We start from the raw sequence: 27398 nt of genomic DNA, 5'->3' as shown, positions 1-27398 counted from the left end.
TAGAAAGAAGTCAAAAGTACAGGGTTATGACAGGTTTAAAATCTGACTCTGCCTCTTACTAAATTCATCATCTTGAGCAAGTTACCTAACATCTTGGAGCTTCAGTTTTTTCATCTGTGAAATGCAGATTACATCAGTGCTTTTATGATAGTGTCATCATGACAATTCATTAGGATCACACTTATAAAATGTAATGAGTTTAGCACAGTGCCTGGGACAGGTTAAGTATGATAATATTATTAATAGTAGTTTCAGTAGTCTCATATTACTTGGACTGATTAAACATTCAGCTTCTCCTTTATGTAGTTCGGTTCTAATTCACAAGCTTTTCCTGGTTCTTCTAATCACTGTATCGTATTTTCAATTTTTATTCCTAGGTTAGGCTTGAGTCTGCATCCCATGCCAACTTTGGAGAAGAAAGATTCTTCTTTGTTTGAACTGCAGATCTCTTCCTTTGGCTTCTTGCTATCTCTAAATCTGCAGACCCTGTGCAAATGGAATCCGCTGAGAAGGCTTTGACTATATAGGGTGCTGGCAGATGCTTACACTTTCTTATTTAGGCAAATTGGACAATCACAAAAATGCAAAGACGGGAAAGATGGTATGGCTTTTGGCAATGTAAGTGGAAAATAAAACTGTGCCGGCTGAAATGGTTTCTTTCTGTAGGTATAATATTTCTTTTAAAAAGTCTGAAAGAGCTCATATATGGCAAAAAAAATGTATCTCCACATTTTTCTCTATGCCAATCAGAAACAATGCTAAATAGAGACTAGATTTTCTATATAGTGATACAACTTTGATCTAAATAACTTAGTATATTCTATTCTTTTTGATAAAGGTTAAAATACAGATTAAAATAATTCACAGATAATAGAGTTGTGTAATCATAGCTATATAGTTACATAAAATTACAAATAAGATTTCTGTACTGAAATTTTAACCCACGTACAAAATGGGATACTAATTATATTTTTCAATAGTTTGAAGTTCCAAATGAGAAAAGATCCTACGGTGAATGGCAAAATCATATGGCAAAAATGAAAAGGAATAGAAAATTATACACATTTTTAAAGAATCATCATTTTGTAGTTGCTGGAATTTTATTGTTGCATTAAAAAATATTCTACATTTAACTAGAAGACAGCAGTTTGCCCTTCCTGGAAAAAGGTGAATAAAGAAACTTCTAAACTGCAGTAAAACAAAAGTAAAAAAAACAACAACAACAAAAAAAAAAACTCTGTATTATAGAAAATTTTCCATTTATCTGTAAAAATCCACAGTTAAACTACTTCAAAAGAAATTTCATGAGACCTCTGCCTTTGGCTCTGTGTGATTTCAATTGAAAATGGCTGTCAGTAATGGTTGCGGAATTGTGGAGCACAGGAGATGTGTCCTGAGACTGGATGGAGATCAGAAAATGTCCTAGTTTTCAGACATGGGAAGAAGTTTAGACTCTTCAGTCCACAAAACAGAATATTTGATACTGATACTGAAAAAACTCTGAAATATATTGTCATGATGAGACCATCATGGGAAGAGGCCATCACTAAAGTCAGAACAAGATGAATAATAGAGAGGGAAGAGGCCATCACTAAAGTCAGAATGAGATGAATAATAGCTCCCTTGCCAGATCTCACTTCCTTTTGATAGGGCCTCTGAGCTGCCAGATTAAGATGGTCTCTTGATGACTCTGCAGCTGGGTGGGAGGGCAAATACGTTGGAACCCAAAATAACTTGACAGGATGGAACAATGGACCAAATCTAACAGGATAAAAAGTAAAAGGGAGATATATAAAGGTTGCCCTCAGTTCCAGAAAATTAGCAACACAAACACAGGAGGGGTGGGCAGATTGCAAATCCCACTGGTGGGCTTCAACAGTTTGCATGCTGCATACAGGTTCCTGGCTGAGGGCATGAGTAAGGGCTGTGTCCATGCAAAGAGGACACCTCTTCCTAATTTGCAGAAAGATGCCATAAAGCAGAAAGGTGTATGCTTGAAAAAAAATGCAAGTTAAGGTTTTTAACTAGGAACTCAGTGAATTAATGCTACTGTGTGGTTGCCAAGAGTTGGAGAGGGCATTCCCAAGCACCACGTCTGAGTAAGGGTGGTCAGTGTCTGGTTCAAGCTGAGCTGGATATATTGAGAGTGGAGAGAAGAACCGTAGTAAATTAGGGCACAACTAGAAGAGAAAGGTGATAATCTGGGAACTATTGACTTTTTTTTTTTTTTTTTTTTAAGACGGAGTCTTGCTCTGTCGCCCAGGCTGGAGTGCAGTGGTGTGATCTCAGCTCTCTGCAACCTCCGCCTCCTGGTTTTAAGCAATTCTCCTGCCTCAGCCTCCCAAGTAGCTGCGACTACAGGTGCGTGCCACCATGCCCAGCTAATTTTTGTATTTTTAGTAGAGACGGGGTTTCACCATATTGACCAGTCAATATTGCAAACTGGTGTTTGCAATCTTGACTGGTGTTAAGGAAAATTGCTTTTTCTCAGAATCATAGGAGCACAAATGAGAAGGGACCTTAAAAGCCATCTAGCCCTACACTACAGCAACTACAAAAACAAATCATCTTTGTTTTGTAAGCACCCTTACTCAGACGTGGTGCTTGGGAATGCCCTCTCCAACTCTTGGCAACCACACAGTAGCATTAATTCACTGAGTTCCTAGTTAAAAACCTTAACTTGCATTTTTTTTCAAGCATACACCTTTCTGCTTTATGGCATCTTTCTGCAAATTAGGAAGAGGTGTCCTCTTTGCATGGACACAGCATGCAAACATGGAATAGTCAAGATTGCAAACGGGTCTCAAACTCTTGACCTCGTGATACACCCTCCTCAGCTTCTCAGAGTGCTGGGATTACAGGCGTGAGCCACCATGCCCGGCCGGAAACTGTGATTTCTGAAGAACAGTGAAAAGAGAGAATGTTTAATTTGCAAAATGGAAGACATAGAATGGTAATGATGTATTTCCCACTAGCAAGTTAACCATGGATGCAGGATGCCAGCAAGCAAGCACATCAAAGGCCAAAAAGAAACTAAGGAAGACTTTTTTATTTGCTTTTTTTTTTTTTAAAAGAGTCTACCATTTGAAATTTAGAAAGAAAATATCAATGTTTTTAATGAGGAAATTCAGAACCTTAGTTTTGTTCTCCTATTTTACAAATTGGTATTTTAAAAATTTGAATTACATATTGCCTGAAAGGCAGGGAGCATCATCATTTTTTTAAATGCTTAGGTTTTGAAAGTCTTAAGCTCATACAAGATACAGAATTTTTCATCAATTTTACTTGTCCAAAAATGGAACAGAAAATGCAATGTTGTGATGCAGTTTAGTTCCTTGTTGCTAGGGTGGTTGAGGCTGAGAGCAGGCGCTGATCCTTGGATGTGACAAAAAGATGATTTGTTTTTGTAGTTGCTGTAGTGTAGGGCTAGATGGCTTTTAAGATCCCTTCTCATTTGTGCTCCTAAGATTCTGAGAAAAAGCAATTTTCCTTAAGAAAGAGGAAAACTGAGATTACCAATACTATTGCCCTTTCATGACGAACTTCAGAAATGAAGAGAGAAGTGCAATACTTGTGATACAAGAATCTGGAATGCATTCAATATTTCCTTCTTTTTGAGTGATTTACTAGTGGTGTCTTCATGAATTCCCTTCTTAGGCCTGGAGTGTCAGTGGTTAAGGCTTGGGACCTAATACGGAGAGGTCCTTGGATTGATCTTGGTAAAAGCTAGTTAGCTCTGAGAGGTTTGATGTGCTTCAGTGCAAGCACATCACAGCTATTTTATGGTATAAACTTTATTGAAGATTGCAACCTTCTTCACTGAGTATGTGCAGAGTGACAACTAGGCAATGGAGGGTGGGTGGATGAGTTAAGATTTATCTTTCCTGTTAAAAAGGCAGTGCAAGATCTTGTCCTCTGTGTATTTGTTGGATATCTGTAACATCTCATGTTTATTCTCATCACAATGAGACTATCATCCAGAGGTGACCATCCTTTTGAATGGGCCTTGGGTTTATTTTGCAAAAATATTAGATACGCATTTCTTGATGCCACTAAAATAAAAAAAAAAGAAAAATTTATATACTGGAGGATGAAGAGGTTTCTTGTGTCTCAAAAATTATTCACATGTAATGAATTGTCTAATAGAGGAGAATTTGATTTTCCTTGGTTACATCCTTGTTCTATTTATTCTTGGGGGGAGGACAGAATAGCTGATGAGATAGCAATGAAAGCAAAAGACAAAGCCACCTAGAGGTTGCCATGCCCTAAATATACTCCTGCCTCTATTACTTGCTTGGTTCTTAATCTCATTCTGGGCTATTCTGAGAACATGGGAAGGAAATCAGCTACGAAGTAGCCTGTATTGTGTAATACCCCTATTCTATTGAGACAAAATAAAACATATAGCAAAAGCAGCCTTGAAGAACAAGAAAAATCACATCAGAGCAGCCTGAGGATGTGTGTGGATCAGGAAAGAGGCTGTCATACCCACTTAGTTTTGATAATTTGCATTACATTTCTCTACAGCAGCCTTCTTAGCATGGATTGGCAGGGCAAGGATGGGTTTGTATCTGGGAATACTTTTCTCATTTTCATAAGTTATAATCATGATCTCGACAAACAGCCTGAATTCCCTGCTGCTGGCCAAAGATCAGGCAGAACTGAACTTCACAGCAAAGTTACCTGGAAGAAACAGGGTCACTGGAACTTTCCACATCAGAGAAGCAAAGTCAAAGGTGGGGGAACTTTGAGATGATGAGCTGTTCCTCCAAAGTCAGAGTGTATTAGATAATACAACAGCAGGGGTGGGTGGGGTGTTTTCTAGGCACAGCATTCTCCATTGTTGATTGGTTCTACTCTTTCATCTTACAACTAGCAATGTTCTATGCCAGTTCGTGCCAACCACATAAAATCTTACCATGTAAGTGAAATAAATCACTAGTGTTTGTATCTAGGCGATATATTGTTAGGTAACATGAACCTTGAACCTTTATCCCTTAGTCTAAGTAGAGCTTCGCCTCTAGACCCGCATGGAGTGTTACATAACTTACTGCTTAAGCCTCTTTGCACATTGTTTGTTGATCCAAGTCATCACCATGGTTACCTCCTCAGTTTGGGCATTACCTAGAGCTCTGTAGGAGGAGCTGTGTGGGATTTACAGGTCCTAGACTGTATGTTCTAGCACTGGTCAGCAGCCTTTTTAGTTCTGGGCATATTGCAATAAGAATTACTGAGGATCTGGAATAAAAACAACATGAAGAGGCACTTGAGAGAACAAAAGGCGAGAGGGAGAGGGAGAAGAGAAGAGAGTGGGAGAGGGAGGAAAAAAAACAGAGAGAGAGGCAAGGTAATGGGGGAGAGAGGAAGGGCAATGGAAGCAATAAAAGAAACAAAATATGACCACAATAAGATGCAGCTATTGAGATGCACCAGGGGTTTCTCAGTGGATAGACTTCAGCAGTTAAGATCAGACAATTCAAATGAATTCCCAAGTGATTCCTGCACTCTGGAATATAGTTGCTCAGAGATTTAGGAGCATTCCAGGGGTTCTTTATCAATTAGGTCAAACATATAAATTCTTTTCACATAGCTAAACAGTGGTTATATGTAAGGCTCTGAAAGCAAGTCAGATTTCTTCCTTAAGGAGATAAGCCTCGTCCTTGGGATATCTCTCTAGTTACAGAAATGATTCTTGACATTCCTTCCAGGATCATGGGTGAGGCTGTGAAAACAGAGAAACCATGTGTTATGTGACAGGATGCTCCTCTGAAGACTGACGATGTTACTTGGGATTTAAGGTACTAATCAAGAAGTCTATAAAGGAAAAAGATGAGTGTATATACACATATGTATGTATATATGTATTTGTATATGTGCATATATATAATTTTAAAAAACAAATACTAGAGCTGTAGATGTTTGCAGGAAATAATATAGTTTAGGAAGAAATGTTTGAAATGCTTGAAAATGCAGTGTAATGAATTAACTGCCAGCTTCAACTTTTATTCAGTCTTTCCTTGCACCTAAACATAATAAGCGAAGGTAAACTCTAATGTGAGAAGAATTTCTTTCTTGGTTGAGGAGCTCCTGAAGTTGAGGAAGGGAAAGGAGAAACTGCAGATCACCGTTACACAAAGCCTGGGGTTGGAGCGAGCAGTGGAATTAGTCCTCTTCCACATTCAGACAGGGACACAAGCCACAGCTCTAGCTCCCTCCCAGGCAGAAGGGAGAACATTCTGGGAGCACAGTGAGGAGAGAAGGGATAAGGATGAGTGAATAAAGTGGAGAGGGAGCAGCTTCACAGAGCATTGTTCTAAGTCCCCCCATACTGTGCCTGTGATTACTGTGAATTCCTTCACTGCTGATGGTCACAGCAAGAAGATTGTCACGCCACTGAATATTTGCATTTGGACCAATGCAAAGATAGGATGTTTCCATCTGAAGATTCACTTTTTAATAGATAACTTTACATCTAGCTCTCAGATCTCCATGTGTAGCATCAAAAAGCATTAAGTAAATTGCTGTGGAATGTGTCTTCAATGAAATAGTACAGAGGTATATAAGGCACTACTGTTTCATCTTTGGAAAGTAAAAGTGATAGGTGAGACAGTAAATCCATAAGTCATCCTTTATTCCTCCCCTCCCATCAAATCTACAATCTGGCCACACCAACGCGCATTTCATACTTATTTCCAGTGTCTCCTCTCTCTCCCTCCTGACTCCTACTGCTCTAGTTCATGTTTTCATCCTCTATTCCAGACAGATACACCATGAAATAGCTGTTGAATGTCTGCCTTGTGTATTATCCTATGCTCCGTGCTCAAATAGAGTGAGAAAAGATACAGACGGATGCCTGCCTTCATGGAGCTTATAGTTTCTATGGGGAAAACAAAGTGAACAACCAATTACACAATTCATTATTACAGTGGTGAAGAATGCATTAAAGACAAAGTGAAGGGTGCTAGAGAGCATACGGTACCCCAAAAATGCTTCCTTTAGAAGTTAATGTGTGGGCTGAGCTTTGAAGCATAGGTAAGAATTAACTTGGTGTAGCAGATCATGAGATCAGGAGTTCGAGACCAGCCTGGCCAACATGGTGAAACCCTGTCTCTACTAAAAATAGAAAAATTAGCTGGGCCTGTTGGCAGGCATGTGTACTCCCAGCTGCTTGGGGGACCGAGGCAGGAGAATCACTTAAACCTGGGAGGCAGAGGTTGCAGTGAACTGAGATCATGCCACTGCACTCAAGCCTGGGCAACAGAGTGAGACTCCATCTCAAAAAAAAAAAAAAAAAAAAAGAATTAACCTGGTGTAGAGAGAAGCTTTGGGCACAGGGAGGAGCATTCCAAGTAGTTCTTCAGCATGAGAGCTGGAGAAGCTAAAAATGACAATGATGCTGGAGCAAGAAAAGAGGCAGGAAAAGCCCAGGCTGATGGGGGAGGCAGGGCTAGAACCCACAGGACCTTGAAAGTTGGGAAAGGGATTTGGTCTCTTCTTGAACAATACACACTCATTCTTTGGAGATCAGTTCATGCATTTTCTCAACCAGGCAGCTTTCTTTGATGCCCTAACTTCATCCCGACCTCCCTTCACTGGGCCATGTTTGGTGCCCATGGTCTAACATAATGCAATTAATCGCCGTGTGTGTCTATTCTGCATTTGGTGGTGACCTTCATGAGGTCAGGAACCACATATTATTCATCTCTATATAACCCCATATTAAACCATTCCCAATATTCTGCCGAAGGGAGACATTTTGATGTCATTAAACATAAAACTATAGTCCTATAGCCCTATAGTTTCTCCTGTAACTATGAAGGAAAAATCGTGAAAGATAGAACAATCTTTGATGTCAGTGGGTAAACATAATTCTTCAGAGTATTTAGTGAAGTATGAAATTTATTTTCACTCATGAAACTAAGAAATTGTGCATGAGAGATATTAGGTGCTAGACTAGACCAGGGAAGAAAAATATACTGAATAATAGTCATTATACCCTCATGGCCTCTCCCCCTGCTGTTGGCTGTCACCATGACAGGCTGCTTCATGTCACCTGTGTGTTCACTCAGAATCTCCCTCAACACTGGCTTTCTAGTGGCCACCACTAACTTCTGCAGATGAGACCTGTTGGCCAGGTGTGCCTGGCGTTCCGTCAGAGAGCCTGGGGTCATTACTCACATACCTTGAAAGAGCCCCTATGTCTTCTAAGTGGATTCAAAAGGGCCTCAGTTCTAATTACTAGGCGTTTCTGGACCTTATGTCATAATGTAGACCACATTTGCCTCTGGGAATGAATTATAATCAGAGATTACTTTTGCATAAAATTGTGCCTTTTTCTACCAGGTTTTCTGTAAAACTAAAATGTATCAATTTTTTTTTTTGAGATGGAGTCTCACTCTGTCACCCAGGCTGAAGGGCAATGGCATGATCTCTGCTCAGTGCAACCTCCACTTCACAAGTTCAAGCAATTCTCCTGCCTCAGCCTCCCGAGTAGCTGGGATTACAGGCATGCACCGCCACGCCCAGCTAATTTTGTATTTTTAGTAGAGACATGGTTTTACCATGTTGGTCAGGCTGGTCTCGAACTCCTGACCTCATGTGATCCACTCGCCTTGGCCTCCCAAAGTACTGAAATTATAGGCGTGAGCCACCGCATGTGGCCAAATGTATCAATTTTAAACTTCTATAATCTTTTACAATATTAAAATTATTTTTGAGGCTCTAGAAATGTTTGTTAATATGTCATTAATTCTGATTCTACAAAAGGCCCCAATTTGCTATAAAGTGAACATAAATCATAGTGAATATAGTTTTATTGCACCATAAAATCAATATAAAGAAAATACACTGGTTCTAATAAGGCAGGTTAATAATTAAATTAATAAGCATGTTTTTCTTGAAGATTCGGATGTTCCAAATGTATTTTGAAAGCTCCCTGGGAGTGTATGAATGCATATCATTTTTGTCCCTGATCTGTGTTCACACTAGTAAGTAAAAACATTCAAAATCATTCATTCCCCTGACCTTAAAACTGGACTTCTCTAATTGTCTTTCATTTCCCTCCCTCCTTCCCACCACTCACCTTAACCATCTCTGGGTGAATCAATGACTGAGTAAATAAAGTGTTGAAAATTCAAATGTAGGTCTATTTTTAGCAAAGTCAAGGGAACAGCTGAGAGGCAGGTCCTCCCTCCAAAGGCATAATCTTGTTTTCCTGTTGCCATCTTATCATGCCAACAGCTGAGTTGGAGCTAGAGCTAGAGGCTGCTCCATTGCCCTCTCCTTGGAAAATTCCATGGGGACATACAGTTTGGAATCCAGAACTCCTGGTGTATTATCCTGTGTTCAGTGTGTGATTTTGTTGTAGAGATCAGCAATGTTTTCTAAGAGATGTTATATCTGCCATTAGTCTTTTAGAATGAAATATGTCAAATACACAAAAAGTATAATGATTAACAAGATTAATTCAGTCTTCCAAAGCCTTTAAGAGCCATTTCTAATTTTACGGAGGTAGCAAGATAACTAGGCAACACTTAATTATCTCTATCCAGTGGGAAATTCGATTGATAGCCTCCAAACTTATTTTTAGACAATGCTATAGACTTTACAATGTAAATACTAGTAAGGAAAGAAATATAAAAAATGTTAACTACAGGAAGGAGACAAAGGGAGAAAAGTCACTAGCTGATTCTCTACAAGCTGGGTAGTCAGCCCCAGCACCCATTTCCACTGGGCAAGGGTGCTGCTTGTTAAATAGTCAACATTTCATATATATCAAAAGCTCAGACTTGTCTAAGGTTAACATGGATGCAGGGTGGCTTTGCAAGAAAACAGTCCAGATTTTTGAGGCTAAGCAAGATGGTTAAATAGAAGCCTCCACTGACCACCCTCCCTGCAGGAACACCAAATTGAACAACTATCCACATAAAAAAGCACCTTCATAAGAATAAAAAATCAGGTGAGCTGTCACAGTACCTGGTTTTAACTTCATATCATTGAAAGAGGCATTAAAGAGGGTAGGAAAGACAGTCTGGAATTGCCAACACCAATCCCCCACTCCCATTCCCCAGCAGCAGCTGGGCTGTGTGGTGGAGAGAATCTGAGCTCTTGCGGGAGAGAGAGTGCAGTGACTGTGGGACTTTGCCTTGGAACTTGGTGCTGCACTGTCACGGTGGAAAGGAACACCAGGCAAAACTCAGTGCCCATGGAAAAAACATTTAGACTAACACTAGCCAGAGGGGAATTGCCCATCCCAGCAGTTGGAACCTGAGTTCTGGCAAGCATCGCCACCACAGGCTAAAGTGCTCTGGGGTTCTAAATAAACTTTAAAAGCAGTCTAGGCCACAAGGGCTGCAATTTCTGGGCAAGTCCTGGTGCTGTGCTGGGCTCAAAGCAAGTGGACTTACTGGGGGCATGTGACCTAGTGAGACACCAGCCAGGGTGGCCAAGGAAGTGCTTGCACCAAGCCTCCCCTAACCCCAGGCAGCACAGCTTGCAGCTAGGAGAGAGACTTTCCTTCCACTCGAGAAAAGAAGGAACTTTGTCTTGCAACTTGGATGCCAGCTCAGCCATAGTAGGACAGGGCACCAGGCAGAGTCCTAAGGCCCCCATTCGAGGCCCTAGCTCTTGGATGACATTTCTAGACACACTCTGGGCCAGAAGAGAACCCATTTCCTTGAAGTAAAGGACCCAGTACTGGCAGGATTCATCATGTGCTGACTAAAAAGCCCTTAGGCCCTGAATAACCAGCAGCAATACCCAGGTAGTATGCCTCGGATGAGACTCTGAGATGTGCTGGATTCAGGTGTGACCCAGCACATCGAGTTGTGGTGGGCTACAAGGAGAGGCTCCTGCTTGAGAAAAGGAGAGAAAGAGTAAAGGGGACTTTGTCTTGCAACTTAGGTACCAGCTCAACCAGAGTCGGGTAGAGCACCAAGTGGGCTCTGGGGGTTCCCAATTCCAGGCCTTGGCTCTTGGATGGCATTTCTGGACCTGCCCTGGGCCAGAGGGAGCCCACTTCCCTGAAGGATGAGTCTCAGATCTGGCAGTATTCACCACAAGCTGACTGAAGAGCCCTTGAGCCTTGAGTGTACATCAGTGGCAGCCAAGCAATACTCATTAGGGGCCTGAAGTGGTGATGACCATAAGGGGAGACTCCTGTGTAGAAAGGGGAGGGAACCAGCACAGCTGTAGTAGAATAGAGCTATCAGGTAGATTCCTAAGGTTTCTGACTCTAGGCCCTGGCTCCTGGATGGCATCTTTGGTCCTGCCTGGGGCTGGGGGAACTCATTGCCCTGGGGAAGGACACAAGCCTGATGGGTTTTGCTACCTGCTGAGTGATGGGTTTTGCTACCTAGGGCCTTGAGTGAACATAGGTAGTAGCCAGGTGGTGGTTATTGTGGGCCTATTGAGAGAGATCCAGTGCCATGCTGGCTTGAAGTCTGACTCAGGGCAGTCCTAGTGGTGGTGGCTGCAGGGGTGCTTGTGTCACTCCACCGCCAAGTCTGCACATACACGCAAGAGAGAAAGACTCTGTGAGAAAGTAAGGGAAGAGAACAAGAATCTCTGCCTGGTAATCAGAGAATTCTTCCAAATCTTATACATGACTTACAAGACGGTACCTCTATGAGTCTGCAAGAACCATAGAGTTATCGGGCTTGAGGTTTCATCTAATGCAGATATGACTGCAGTGACCCAACATTTAGATTATAAGACCCAACTCTCTTGCATACCTGGAAAGCCTTCCCAAAAAGGATGGGTACAAAAAAGCCTAGACTGCAAAGACTACCATAAATTGGCTGGGCACAGTGGCTCATGCTTGTAATCCCAGCACTTTGGGAGGCCGAGGCCAGTGGATCACCTGAGGTCAAGAGTTTGAGACCAGCCTGGTCAACATGGTGAAACTTTGTCTTTACTAAAAATACAAAAATTAGCCGGGTATGGTGGCAAGCACCTGTACCCTAGCTACTTGGGAGGCTGAGGCAGGAGAATCGCTTGAACCCAGGAGGCAGAGGTTGCAGTGAGCTGAGATCACACCGTTGTACTCCAGCCTGGGCAACAAGAGCCAAACTCCATCTCAAAAAAAAAAAAACAAAAAACAAAAGAACAAAAAGACTACCATAAATACCCAACTCTTTAATGACCAGAGACTGACAAACATTCACAAGCATCAAAACCATCTAGGAAAACATGACCTCACCAAATGAACAAAATAAGTCACTGAGGACTGACCCTGGAAAAACAGAGAATTTAAAATAACTGTTTTGAGGAAACTCAAAAAAATTCAAGGTAACACAGAGAAGGAATTCAGATTCCTATCGGATAAATTTAACAAATAAATTGAAATAATTAAAAAGAGTCAAGCAGCAGTTCTGGAGTTGAGAAGTGCAATTGACATCCTGAAGAATGCATCAGTGTCCCTTAACAGCAGAATTGATCAAGCAGAAGAAAGAGTGAGCTTGAAGACAGGCTATTTGAAAATAAATAGTCATAGGAGACAAAAAATAAATAAATAAAAAATGAAGCACAGCTACAAGATGTAGAAAATATTCTAAAAATGGCAAATCTAAGAGTTATTGGCCTTAAAGAGGAGGTAGAGAGAGAGAGATAGGGGTAGAAAGTTTATTCAAAGGGATAATATCAGAAAACTTCCCAAACCTAGAGAAAGATATCAATATTCAAGTACAAGATGGTTACAGAACACCAAGCAGATTTAATCCAAATAAGACAGCCTCAAGACATTTAATAATCAAACTCCCAAGGGTTAAGGATAAAGAAAGAATCCTAAGAGTAGCAAGAGTAAAAAACAAGTAACATTCAATGGAGCTCCAATACATCTGGCAGCAGACTTTTCAGTGGAAACCTTACAGGCCAGGAGATAGTGGCATGATACATTTAAAGCGCCAGTGAAAAAATTCTTTTATATTAGAATAGTTTATCCAGTAAAAATATCCTTCAAACGTGAAGGAGAAATAAAGACTTTCCCAGACAAATGAAAGCTGAGGTATTTCATCAACACAAGACCTGTCCTACAAAAAATGCTAAGAAGAGTTCTTCAGTCTGAAAGAAAAGAATGTTAATGAGCAATAAGAAACAATCTGAACGTGCAAAACTGGTAATAGTAAGTACACAGAAAAACACGGAATATTATAACACTATATTTGTGATATGTAAACTACTCATATCTTGAGTGGAAAGACTAAAAGATGAACTAATAAAAATAATAACTACAACTTTTTTTTTTTTTTTGAGACAGAGTCTCGCTCTGTTGCCTAGGCTGGAGTGCAGTGGTGCTATCTCGGCTCACTGCAAACACTGCCTCCCAGGTTCACGCCATTCTCCTGCCTCAACCTCCCAAGTAGCTGGGACTGCAGGTGCCCACCACCATGCCCGGCTAATATTTTGTATTTTTTTAGTAGAGACGGGGTTTCACCATGTTAGCCAGGATGGTCTCGATCTCCTGACCTTATGATCTGCCCGCCTCGGCCTCCCAAAGTGCTGGGATTATATCTGGATGCCCTGATGTAGTAGCTGGAGTCCCAGCTATTCGTGGGGAGGCTGAGGCAGGAGAATGGCGTGAACCTGGGAGGCGGAGCTTGTAGTGAGCTGAGATCACACCACTGCACTCTAGCCTGTGTGACAGAGCGAGACTCCATCTCCAAAAAAAAAAAAAAAGAAAAAAAAATACAACACCCAATAACCTGTTGCTTCACACTTCACCTACAAGGACATGCATAGAATGAAAATCAAGAGATGCAAAAAAAAAAAAAAAAAAATTCCATGCAAATGGAAACCCAAAAAGAGCAGGAGTAGCTATACTTAGACACAATAGATTTCAATATAAAAACTATAAAAAGAGACAAGGTCATTATATAATGATAAAGGGTTTAATTCAGTAAGAAGATATAACATTTGTAAATATATACGCCCCTAACATCAGGGCTTCCAGATATTTAAAATATTATTAGAACTAAAGAGAAAAGTAGACTCCCAATACAATAATAGCTGAAGACTTCAACATCCCACTTTCAGCTTGGACAGATCATCAAGACAGAAAATCAACAAAGAAATAATGAACTTAATCTGCACTGTAGACCAAATGGGCCTAATGGATATTTAGAGAACATTTCATGCAAGAGCTGGAGAATACACATTCTACTCCTCAGCACATGGATTGTTCTCAAGAACAGGCCATATGTTAGGTTTCAAAACAAGTCTTCAAAATATTTCTTTAAATGAGATTATGTCAAATATCTTCTCTGACCACAATGGAATAAAACTAGAAATTAGTAACGAGGAATTTTGGAAACTATACAAACACATGGAAATTAAGCAATATGCTCCTGAATGAGCAGTGGGTTAATGAAGAAATTAAGAAAGTAATTAAAAAAATTTTTTGAAACCAATGCTAATGGAAACACAACATTCCAAAACCTATAGGATACATCAAAATCAGTGCTAAGAGAAAAGTTTATAGCTATAAGCACCTACATCAAAAAAAATCTCTTCTGATGGAAAAAAAATAGAAACCCTTCAAATAAACAACCTAATGATTCATTCTAAAGACTAAGAAAGCAAGAGCAAACCAAATCCAAAATTAGTAGAAGAAAAGAAATAATAAATAACAGAGCAGAAATAAATGAAACTGAAATGAAGAAAACAATACAAAAGATCAGTAAAATGAAAAATTGGTTTTTTGAAAAGATGAACAAAATTGGCAAACCTTTTTTTTTTTTTATTTTTTGAGACGGAGCCTTGCTCTGTTGCCCGGGCTGGAGTGCAGTGGCTTGATCTCGGCTCACTGCAAACTCCACGTCCCAGGTTCATGCCATTCTCCTGCCTCAGCTTCCCGAGTAGCTGGGACTAAGGTGCCCGCCACCACGTCTGGCTAGTTTTTTTGGTATTTTTCGTAGAGACGGGGTTTCACCGTGTTAGCCAGGATGGTCTCAATCTCCTGACCTCATGATCCGCCTACCTTGGCCTCCCGTAGAGCTGGCATGAGCCACTGTGCCCGGTCACAAAATTGACAAACCTTTAACCAGACTAAGAAAGAAGAGAGAAGACCCAAATAAAATCAGAGATAAAAAAGGGAGACAATTTGAGACCAGCCTGGCCAACATGGTGAAACCCCGTCTCTACTGAAAATACAAAAATTAGCTGGACGTAGTGGCGTGCACCTGTAATCCCAGCTATTTGGGAGGCTGAAGCACGAGAATTGCTTGAACCTGGGAGGTGGAGGTTCCAGTGAGCAAAGATCGCACCACTGCACTACAGCCTGGACGACAGAGTGAGACTCCATCTCAAAAAAAAAAAAAGGGAGACATTACAACTGATACTGCAGAAACTCAAAGGATCAGTAGAAGCTACTATAAGCAACTATGTGTGAATAAATTTGAAAACCTAGAAGAAATGGATAAATTCATGGACACATACAACCTATCAAGATTGAGCCATGAAGAAATCCAAAACCTGAACAGACCAATAATAAGTAACAAGACTGAAGCTGTAATAAAATGTCTCCCAGCAGAGAAAAGCCTGGGGTGGATGGCTTCACAGGTGAATTATACCAAACATTTACAGAAGAACTAATACCAATCCTACTCAAACTAATCCAAAAAATAGAGGAGGAGGGAATACTTCCAAATTCGTTCTATGAGGCCAGTAGTACCTGATTAAAAAAACCAGACAGACACATTAAAAAAAAAAAAGAAAAAAAAAAGAAAAGAAAAGGAAAGAAAACTACAGGCCAACATTCCTGATAAACATTGATGCAAAAATTCCTCAACAAAATATTAGCAAACCCAATTCAACAACACATTTAAAAGATCATTCATCAAGACCAAGTGGGATTTATCCCAAGGATGGTTCAACATGTGCAAATCAACCAACGTGATACATCATATAAATAGCATGAGGGACAAAAACCATATGCTCATTCCAATTGATGCTGAGAAAGCGTTTGATAAAATCTAACATCCTTTTAAAATAAAAACCTCAAAAAACTAGGTATAGAAGGAACTTACCTCAACACAATAAAAGCCATATACAACAGACCCATGGCTAGTATCATACCAAATGGGGGCAAAACTGAAGGCCTTTCCTCTAACATTTGGAACATGACAAAGATGCCTACTTTCACCACTGTTATTCACCATAGTACTGGAAGTCCTATCTAGAGCAATCAGACAATAGAAAGAAATAAAAGACATCCAGATTGGAAAGGAAGATGTCAAATTATCCTTGTTTGCAGATAATATGATCTTATATTTAGAAAAATGTAAAGACTCCACCAAAAAACTATTAGAACTGATTTAAAAATTCAGTAAAATGGCAGGATATAAAGTCAACATAAAAAAATTAGTAGTATATCTGGCCAGGCATGGTGTCTCATGCCTGTAATCCCAGCAGTTTGGGAGGCCGAGGTGGGCAGATCATGAGGTCAGGAGTTTGAGACCAGCCTGGCCAACATGGTGAAACCCCATCTGTACTAAAGATACAAAAAATTAGCTGGGCGTGGTGGCGCATGCCTATAATTGTAGCTACTCAGGAGGCTGAGGCAGGAGAATTGCTTGAACCTGGGAGGTGGAGGTTGCAGTGAGCCAAGATTGCACCATTGCACTCCAGCCTGGGTGACGGGGCGAGACTCCATCTCAAAAAAAAAAAAAAAGTAGCATTTTTATATGCCAACAGTGCAGAATCTGAAAAAGAAATCAAGAAAGAATTACATTTACAATAGCTATAAATAAAATAAAATACTTAGGAATTAACTATAGAAGTGAAAGATTTCAACAATGTAAACTGTAAAACACTGATGAAAGAAATTGAAAAGGACACACAAAAAATGGAAAACTTCCACGTTCATGGATTAGAAGAATCAATATTCGTAAAATGTTCATACTACCTAAAGCAATCTACAGATTCAATGCAATCCCTATCAAAATACCAATGACATTCTTCACAGAAATAGAAAAACAATCCAAAAATTTATATGGAACCACAAAAGACTCAAAATAGCCAAAGTTATCATGAGGAAAAAAAAAAAAAAGGGAAGGAATCACATTACCTGACTTCAAATTATGTGACAGAGCTATAGTAAGCGAAACAGTATGATATTGACATAAAAACAGACACATGGACTAATGGAACACAATAGAGAACCCAGAAACAAATTCACATCTATGAACACATTTTTGACAAAGAGAACACACATTAGGAAAAGAACAGTCTCTTCAATACATGGTGCTGGGAAAACTGGATATTCATATGAAGAAGAATAAAACTAGCCCCCTATCTCTCATATTTACAAAAATCAAATCCAAATGGATTAAAGACTTAAATATAAGAGTTCAAAGTATGAAGCTACTAAAAGAAAGCATTGGGGAAACTCTCCAGGACATTGGATGGTGCAAGGATTTCTTGAGTAATACCCCAGCAGCACAGGCAACCAAAGCAAAAATGGACAAATGGGATCACATTAAGTTAAAAACCTCTGCACAGCAAAGGAAACAATCAACAAAGTGAAGAGACAATCCACAGAATGGGAGAAAATATTTATGAACTGTCCATCTGACAAGGGATTAATAACTAAAATATATAAGGAGCTCAAACAACTCTAGAAAAATACCCTAATAATCCAATTAAAGATGGGCAAATAGACATTTCTCAAAAGAAAACATACACATGGCAAACAGGCATATGAACAGGTGTTCAACATCTTTGATCATCAGAGAAATGCAAATCAAAACTACAGTAAGATATTATCTCACCCCAGTTAGAAATGACTTTTATCCAAAAGACAAGGAATAACATATGCTGGTGAGGATGTAGAGGAAAAGGGACCCTTGTGCACTGTTAGTGAGAATGTAAATCGGTACAACCACTGTGAAGAACAGTTTGGAGGTTCCTCAAAAACTAGACATAGAGTTACCATATGATCCAGGCATTCCACTGTGAGGGATATACCAAAAAAAAGAAAAAAAAAAAAGAAATCAGTATATTGAAGAGATACCTACACTCCCATGTTTATTGCAGCGCTATTCACAATAGCAAGATTTGGAAGCAACCTAAGTGTCCATCAACCAAGGAATGGCTAAAGAAAATGTATGTGTTATATATATATACACACATATATATAAATGTGTGTATATATGGTATATATGTGTACATATCATATTTACACACAACATTTAACAATAGACCTCTATATACCACAGAGTTCTATTCAGCCATAAAAAGAATGACATTCTGTCATTTGCCAACAACATGAGGTCATTATGTTAACTGAAATAAGCCAGGCACAGAAAGGCAAACTTCACATATTCCCACTTACTGATGGGAGCTAAAAATTAAAACAATTGCACTCATGGAGACAGAGTAGAAGAATGGTTACCAGATGCTAGGAAGGGTAGTGTGGCAGGGTACGGGGGGAAGGTTAGTGGGAGGAATGGTTAATGGCCACAAAAATATAGTTAGACAGAATGAATAATATCTGGTATTTGATAGCACAACAGGGTGACTACAGTCAACAATAATTTATTGCACATTTTAAAATAAATAAGTATAATTGGGTTGTTTGTAACACAAAGAAAGGATAAATGCTTGAGGTGATGGATACTCCATTTACTCCGTGTAATTATTATGCATTGTGTGCCTGTAGCAAAATATCTCATGTACCCTGTAAATATATATACCTACTATGTACCTACAAAAATTAAAAATAAAAAAAAAATACAGTCCAGTCAGAGGAAAATAGCCACCTAGCTTACTCAGGTTGTCTGGGCAAAATATGATGAACAGTGTTCAGTATTTTGGTCTATGCTGTCCATATCCCAGTGTATCTTTTGCTCACATTCTTTGTTCCTGCCCTTGCCCTGTTAGAGAAAAACTGGGGCCGGGTGTGGTGGCTCATGGCTGTAATCCCAGCACTTTGGGAGGCTGAGGGGGGTGGATTGCTTGAGGTCAGGAGTTCAAGACCAGCCTGGACAACATGATGAAACCCCGTCTCCACTAAAAATACAAAAAGTAGCTGGGCGAGATGGGAGATGCCTGTAATACCAGCTACTTGGGAGGCTGAGGCACGAGAATCACCTGAACCTGAAAGGCTGAGGTTGCAGTGAGCCAAGATCGTGCCACTGCACTTCAGCCTGGGTGACAGAGCAAGACTCTGTCTCAAAAAAAAAAAAAAAAAAAAAAGAAAGAAAAACTGATCTTCAGATATCCTTAGTTATTAAATAACCGGATATTTTTAAGCATTTCAATGAATTGACACAAATATGCCAGTGGACCGTGTGTACTTTGTACTTTGATGCTCTGCTATGTTGGTCATTTGAATATGCGAGACAAGGAGCCTGCCTCTTGGTTATAGCCAAGTGAAAAAGCAGATGTACATCTGTATTACAGAATCATTTCACATAAGCCAATTATTGTCCAAAGAGAGCTGGTTATATGTGGACATCTAAGGGTATTGTCTCCTTGAATGAAACTACATAAAAATATTTCGAATGTCCAGTACTTTATAAATGGTATGTATGTGGACAGCTAATCTTGCAAGGGGACGATTTTCTCACTAGGTTTATTTTCAGTTTATTCCCCATATAGGATAATGTATAGCCTGATTTGTACCTTTGGAAGACATGTTTGAGAGATGACAGGAAACAGTGGTAACTTTCCTTCTGAACAGATTGTGTGCTCTGTGTATCTGTAGATGCCCCGAGGCTGAGGTTTCTTTAAAAATTATTTTTAAACTGCTTGAATGCTTACCCTCCCACCATCCCCCATATGGCAAGTTCTTCGTGGTGCTTTTCCAAAGGAAATCCATGATTGTGATATGATGTGTGTTTGTGTATGTGTCAGGGAAGAAAAGAAATATATAAAGACAAGAGGAACAAAATTTATCTTAAAAGATATTTATTTTCTCAGAAACCATATTTAGATACAAATATATTTTTCTTGTCAAAATTAATCATTCTTTCCTCATCTACATTGTACTTTCTTAAACCTATGTTATCATAATCTGATGTGAAATATTGTTGTATGTGTGCGTGTCTTTCTAGTCCACTTAATAGGGATTCCTTGGAAAGCAGGGACCATGTTTGAGTGTTTCCACCCCCAGGATATTTAGCCAGTGCCCATGGTAGATGATCAGTTATGATCTCTTGTCTTGAGTTCAGCATTTCAGACCTTTAGAGAAAACTAGCTCTCAGGGAGGACAATTCCATTTTGTTCTTCTATGAAGGACTGTGTTCAGGAGATTAGGATTAGAGCCACAGGAAGAATCTTTTTCTATTTTGAAACAATCCAATTTAAAAAAATGGAACATGGTGAAAGTCTGTCTTTACTAAAATACAAAAAATTATCTGGGTGTCATGGTGTGCACCTGTTGTGTGCATGGTGTGCACCTGTTGTCGTGCATGGTGTGCACCTGTTATCTGGGCGTCATGGTGTGCAGCTACTTGGGAGGCTGAGGCAGGAGAATCACTTGTACCTGGGAAGTGGAGGTTGCAGTGAGCTGAGGTCGCACCACTGCACTCTAGCCTGGGTGACAACACAAGACTGTCTCAAAAAAAAAAAAATCAAAAAACCACCACCACCATCACCACCACCACCACCACCACAACAAAAACAAACAAAAAATACCTAAAATCTGAACAGACATTTCTCAAAAGAAGACATACAAATAGCAAACAGGCATAATATAAAGGTGCTGAACATCCTTGATCATCAGAGAAATGCAAATCAAAATTACAATGAGATATCATCTCACCCCGGTTAAAATGTTTTATGTCCAAAAGACAGGCAATAACAAATGTTAGTGAGGATGTGAAGAAACGGGGACCTACATATGCTGTTGGTGGGAGTGTAAAGTTTCTTGCTGTTAACTGCCCTAGAAAATCTAGCTTATGAAATGGCAAGATGAAATACTACATGGTGAACAAACAAGTGGATCTCATAGACTGAACTGTCTTGAAGAAGCAATGGCTGGGGAATTATACCCCTATCTTCAAGGAGTGTCAACAGTGATTTGAAGTGTAGAGATGCCTATGGCCAGGCACCAGAAATATGTGTTGTAAACTCTGAAAAAACACAGTCCTACCCAGAAACCACACTAGTCATCTCTTTTGCATTGAACTCAGGGGCAGGAAAACTTTTGAGCCATCTTTTTTTCTTGATTCTGCACAGAGCTCACTATGGAATGCTTTGGTATTTCAGTTCCTTACATGGGCAGTGTTATGGATCATCTCGTTGCCCTGTCCCCCTATTGGTAGCCCCTGGAGCCACTAAGTCAGTACAGGCAACCCAGGCTGTATTCTCGCATCTCCTGGGGAGCTCAGAAAATGCATATATGATGCCTGAGTTTTCCCTCAAGAGCTTCTTCTTCCTCTTCTCCTCCTTTTCCTTCTCCTCCTCCTCCCTCCTTCTTTCTCCTCTTCCTCCTCTTTTCTTGTTCTTCTTCTTCTTTTTTTTTTTTTTTTTTTTTTTTTTTTTTTTTTTTTTTTTTTTTTGAGACAGAGTCTTATTCCGTTGGCCAGGCTGGAGTGCAGTGGTGCAATCTTGGCTCACTGCAACCTCTGCCTCCCGGGTTCAAGTGATTCTTGTGCCTCAGCCTCCCACGTAGCTGAGATTACAAGCATGCGCCAACACACCCAGCTGATTTTTGTATTTTTAGTAGAGACAGGGTTTCACCATGTTGTCCAGGCTGATCTTGAACTCCTAACCTCAGGTGATCCGCCCACCTTGGCCTCCCAAAGTTCTGGGATTACAGGCGTGAGCCACCACGCCCAGCCAAGAGGGTCTGATTAATTGGTCTGGGGTGGAGCCTGGACATCTGCACAGATTTTGTAAAAGTGATCCAGCTGATTCTAATAGAGGTAAGAATTCCAATGGCTGAGAAGCCCATGCCAAAGTATTAAGAAGAGCACAAGCTTAACAGCAGACAACTGAACAGGGCTGCGGAGGCAGCAGAGTTGAGGACACCTGCAGCAACCACCACTGTAACCACAGTAGCAGCAGCCACAATGACAGAGGGGTCAACCTGGGATAAGAGAATGCCTGGAGAGGAAGACATCTTGCTCATATGCTCAGCTTTTCCCAGCACTGGCCAGATACACAATCATTCTTTAGTCGGTCAGCACTCATTCGTTCACTGAGTGCCATGTTCCTAGTACAGGGACGGGGCAGACAGAGGTAGACAAGACCCAGTCTCTGTATTTGAAGAGGGGAGACTAACATTACAGGTGCACAATAGAAGTGTGCACAGAACACAAAAGAGACACAAATGAGGGAGTGCACATTCCATCCGGGAAGGCTGTGGGACAGGAAAGACAAAATATTACCATTTAGTCCACCAGGTGGCTGGGGGATGGAGACAGGTGGAGAGGTGTTAAGGGGATGGTGATGGTGGCCATGGGAGTGGCCATTGATTGAATCAGAGATGCAGGATGGGGTTGGTTGGGATTAAACATTTCCTGGAAGAATCCACTCAGGGTATGCAGTATGGTAGAACAATTTCACTATGTACCCATTAAGTATATATGGGTGGCAGTCGAGTGGGTGGGAAGGAAGGGACTGTGGAGGCAGCAACAAGAAAGGCTTTGCAAGGAACCCATTCTTAGCTATCTTCCTCCCACTTGCAGCATCTCTCAGGGATCTGTGGTTCCTGGGTTCCTGGTCTTCTTAATCCTCAGTCGCCACAGGACTGTGTGCTGGCAGGCAGAGGGCTGGAGCCTGGCAGAGGTACCTCCGGCCCCAGGGCAGTGCATGCAGCCAGCTCTGACCTGGCTCCTGCTATCGGGATCTGTCATTAGTAAAACCCCAGCTCCTTTGCCAAGTGCCAGCGCTCCCCACCACCCTGCCATGGCTAGGCATTCTTAGTACAGTGTAACAGTATCCACACTTTTAAGAACATCCTGGGCATTTGAAACCTTGTCAAGTGTAAAGAAAACTATGGCTTGAATCTCTGAGCCTTGTTTCCTCTCCAGGGGAAGTAATAGGCAAGGTTGTATCCTTTGGATATCATTTCAAAAAAATCTTTCAATTTCCCAGGAGAAGAGACTGCAAGAGAAAAAAAAAAACTCAGGAGAGTGTATAGAATACCTTTCATTTAGCAAGATAAAAGCTAGTCTGCTAAATTAAAAATAGCGCATTCTAAGAACTGGAAGGGACAATGCTGGGCTTGTTCAGTGGCTGTGAAAGGACACTTTATCTCAGTCATGCTTGTCTCGTGGGGCAACTGGCAATGATTGGGAATTAGCAAAGCCTGGGAAGCCTGAGACAGGCACCTCTTCCTGGGCAACTGATTCATCATATAGAGTGCAGTCTCCGCTTCTCTGCTTGTAAAACTTATAAGGTACTTGCTCGGGAATAAACTAATAAAATCATTTATAGCCTCACAGAATATAGAATTTGAAATGGCAAATATTTTTATCAGGTTGCTCCTGATACCTTAGCTTTTAGGAATTTATTGTCCCCTTTGAAAACCAGAAATAGGTGAAGAAAAGATGTGATTCTAATATTACTTGTCTTCACCAGCAACTTTCATTTCTCTCTGGGGAGATGGGCAGGTTTCATTGTGTTTTTGATGCCTGATTACCCTCTCTGAGGGGAACATTCAAATTCTTAGACGAAATTCATTAAATTGTTGGAAATTCCTAACGAACCCATCACTCAGTAACCTTAACTGGGTGGGTTCTTAATTTCCTGGTACCACCACACCCTGAATAGCATTCTAATGAGGAAATAGATGTAGCAATTCTTTCATTTGTATGACTTTTTAAAGCGTATGTTTTTATTTCCCTTGCAAAAGAAAGTATTTTAATACAATGGAAAGAATTTGTAACAACGTTAAGAGAGACAAGCTTCATACATAATATAGATCTCCATTGTTCCTGTAGAGGAGAGAGGGGTAGCTGAGTAGGGATGCTTTCCAATGATGACCTGGTTTGATTTACAATATGACAGAATCAATGGCAGTTCAAAAAGTGGTTTCCAGCACTTTGGATTCTGGTAATTTGGGGATTGTTGTATTTGCTATCTAAGGAAGGTAAAGTTGAAGAATATAATTTCTTCTAAACTAAGTGTACTCATGCTGAAAATGAGTTGGTATGTTACAATATTGTTTATAATAGGAAAGATTAGAAACAATTTAAATATTTGAAATAGTTAAATAGACAATGATATATTCAGTCAAATGTTATGCAGTATATAACAATCGAGTAAGGTGGAGGTATTGACTTAGAAAAATGTCCATGTTGTAAAAAGTGGGGATAATTACATAACCATATGTAAACCATAATTCCATTTTGGTAAAAACAATCTACATATATGTTCATACAAGGATGTGAACACATATATACTTTACAAGGTGTAGCAGTGTGGTGTGTACACATGTTTAGGGATGGGTAAATAATGGTGGAAGTAGAATGTAGGCAGGCAAACATTACATATTTTCCTTTTTATACCATTGTTATTTTATATATAATATACATATATAATATATTTATAATATACATATATCATATATCATATATGATATAGATACATATATCATATATCATATATGATATAGATACATATATCATATATGATATAGATACATATATCATATATGATATAGATACATATATCATATATGATATAGATACATATATCATATATGATATAGATACATATATCATATATGATATAGATACATATATATGATATAGATACATATATCATATATGATATAGATACATATATCATATATGATATAGATACATATATCATATATGATATAGATACATATATCATATATGATATAGATACATATATCATATATGATATAGATACATATATCATATATGATATAGATACATATATCATATATGATATAGATACATATATCATATATGAATCTATATCATATATGAATCTATATCATATATGAATCTATATCATATATGATATAGATACATATATCATATAATATATAACATATCATATATAATATACATGTATTACATATAATATATATCATATACTATATAATATATAGTATATATAATATAGTATATATAAAATAATATATAGGTATAGTATATATAATATGCTATATAGAGTATACTATATATAGTATATATAATGTATCATATACATATACTATATATGTAATATATATTATACATATACTACATAATATACTATATATAGCATATATAATATAATATGTAATATAAATATATATAGACCACACACACACACATATATAGAAACACACACACATATATATAACAGTACACATGCAATACTTCTGTAATTGAAAAAGAAACATTACCAACATAATAGATGGATTTTGTCAAAATAAACATTATATTTTAAAGCCATCATCGGCCGGGCACAGTGGCTGATGCCTGTAATCCCAGCACTTTGGGAGGCCAAGGTGGGCAGATCACGAGGTCTGGCGTTCAAGACCAGCCTGGCCAATATGGTGAAACCCTGTGTCTACTAAAAATACAAAAAATTAGCCAGGGGTGGTGGCATGCTCCTGTAGTCCCAGCTACTCAGGAGGCTGAGGCAGTAGAATCGCTTGAACCCAGGAGGCATAGGTTGCGGTGAGCCGAGATTGCACCACTGCACTCCAGCCTGGGCGACAGAGTAGACTTCATCAAAAAAAAAAAAAAAAGGAAAAAATCATCAAGTCAATACATTTTATTTAAGGCCACTATGAAAGCACATATGTCTGAGCCAGGACCAGAGAGCTTGGCAATTATGACTTGATGCTTTTAAGGTTCTTGTGTTCACAGCTCTAATTATTTTTATTCCTTTAAGAAAGTGTACTTCAGCACTCTACCTGAATAATCCAGAGTTTGGAATTGTGTATCTGAGCACCCCAAAATAACTATCATTAGGCAAGCAGGAATTTACAAATTATGACTTCCTAAGCATGTTTTCATTGCCCAGTATAAATATTTTGACAGTAGCCTATGTACACTAATAATGTTTTGCATAACAAAGAGTAACAGGTGCAGCAAAAAGGGAGGCAAGTTACTTGAGGATGCATTCTCAAGTATGTATTATTTCTAAATGTATTGTTATTATTATTGCTATTGCAGTAAAATTGGTTGCTATGGATAATTTATAGCAATGAAACTCTCTTTTGGAATAAAGTAAGAACTCGATTCAGATGAACTCAGAAAACCATCAAGCAGTATGCCAATCAAATCTCCGCTTCCCAGGATGTCACCATCTTACACTCCGGGGTGATTCATTCCCCAAGGCTTTGTTGAACACATGTTATTAATGGGCAGAAAGAGGTAAAGGGTGTTGCAGGAGAGCAAGAACTCTGAGTCAATTATTATAGGGAGTACGAACAAGCTCTTGAATCCACCACACACCCACACAGATGGAGGGGATGTGAGCAATTTCCAATTTAGAAAGGAGAAATTACCCTTGTGATCCGCCAGGGCCAGAGGACATGACCAACTCTTTTTGGCAGGTAGACGTTTTTTTCTTTTAATGGATATATTTAGAAAGCCAGTCTCAAGTACACTTAGAAAAGAAACTGTAAAATGGCTTTTCTATCATGATAAAGTCATTTGGAAGTCAAGGAAAGTGGATTTTCCTGACTCCCTGAATTGCCAGAGCTACAGTTTCTGTTAGGATTTGTAAACTAAGCTCATACATTTCATGTTATTTCTTATCATTTGAAGTCAGCCTGAAAATAGAATTTAAAGAAAAATCAAGGCTAATACAAAAGGATAAAATCCAAAGTGCTTTTCAGCTGTCTTGGCAATGAAATCTTGGACAGGAAGAACAGCATGTCTGTATCTTTAGATGGAATAAAAATTCTTGGAAAATTATTTCAATAATACTTATGTAAATGGCTGCAGAAAAATATTAATCCAAGTTAACCAACCTAAAATCAAATATATTTGGCTTTTCCCCTACTTTTGAGGTTCCTAGTTTTGGGATATTCATTTTGCATAGTTTTATGAAAATAAGATAAATGGCTGGGCGCGGTGGCTCACGCCTGTAACCCCAGCACTTTGGGAGGCCGAGGCAGGCGGATCACGAGGTCAGGAGATCGAGACCATCCTGGCTAACACGGTGAAACCCCATCTCTACTAAAAATACAAAAAATTAGCCAGGCGTGGTGGTACTTGGGAGGCTGAGGCAGGAGAATGGCGTGAACTCGGGAGGTGGAGCTTGCAGTGAGCGGAGATCATGCCATTGCACTCCAGCCTGGGCGACAGCGCGAGACCCCATCTCAAAAAAAAAAAAAAAAGAAAAGAAAAGAAAATAAGATAAATATAGCTTTGTGATTAGATATGGGCTTATGGTCCTCCTTTTTTTGATATAAGTCACAGTTCCCCTAAATAAACATTTTTAGTCTATAAAAATACTAGTTTTTACATCCTTGCCTG

The 27398-nt window shown here is 39.4% G+C and overlaps 1 long non-coding RNA gene across 2 annotated transcripts in view, besides 1 other annotated feature; it reads left to right on the top strand.

Moving 5' to 3' along the window:
* Positions 1–27398, top strand: part of LOC101928277 (uncharacterized) — a 205476-nt gene that overhangs the window by 166758 nt on the left and 11320 nt on the right. For both annotated transcript variants that reach the window (XR_001744364.2, XR_001744363.2), the window contains one exon: positions 5709–5798. This is a non-coding gene — a long non-coding RNA (uncharacterized LOC101928277). The remainder of the gene's footprint in view (positions 1–5708; positions 5799–27398) is intronic.
* Positions 6057–6651: an enhancer, noted in NCBI's record as "OCT4-NANOG hESC enhancer chr6:135027094-135027688 (GRCh37/hg19 assembly coordinates)". NCBI's record gives its function as "activates a minimal SCP1, AML or CMV promoter by ChIP-STARR-seq in naive and primed H9 embryonic stem cells {active_cell/tissue: H9 hESC(naive and primed)}" and the evidence as "EXISTENCE:reporter gene assay evidence [ECO:0000049][PMID:30033119]".

Source organism: Homo sapiens, chromosome 6 (assembly GCF_000001405.40).
Source record: "Homo sapiens chromosome 6, GRCh38.p14 Primary Assembly".
NCBI lineage: Eukaryota > Metazoa > Chordata > Mammalia > Primates > Hominidae > Homo > Homo sapiens.
The sequence above is the reverse complement of the archived record's forward strand: the minus strand, read 5'-3'. Positions and strand labels throughout refer to the sequence as shown.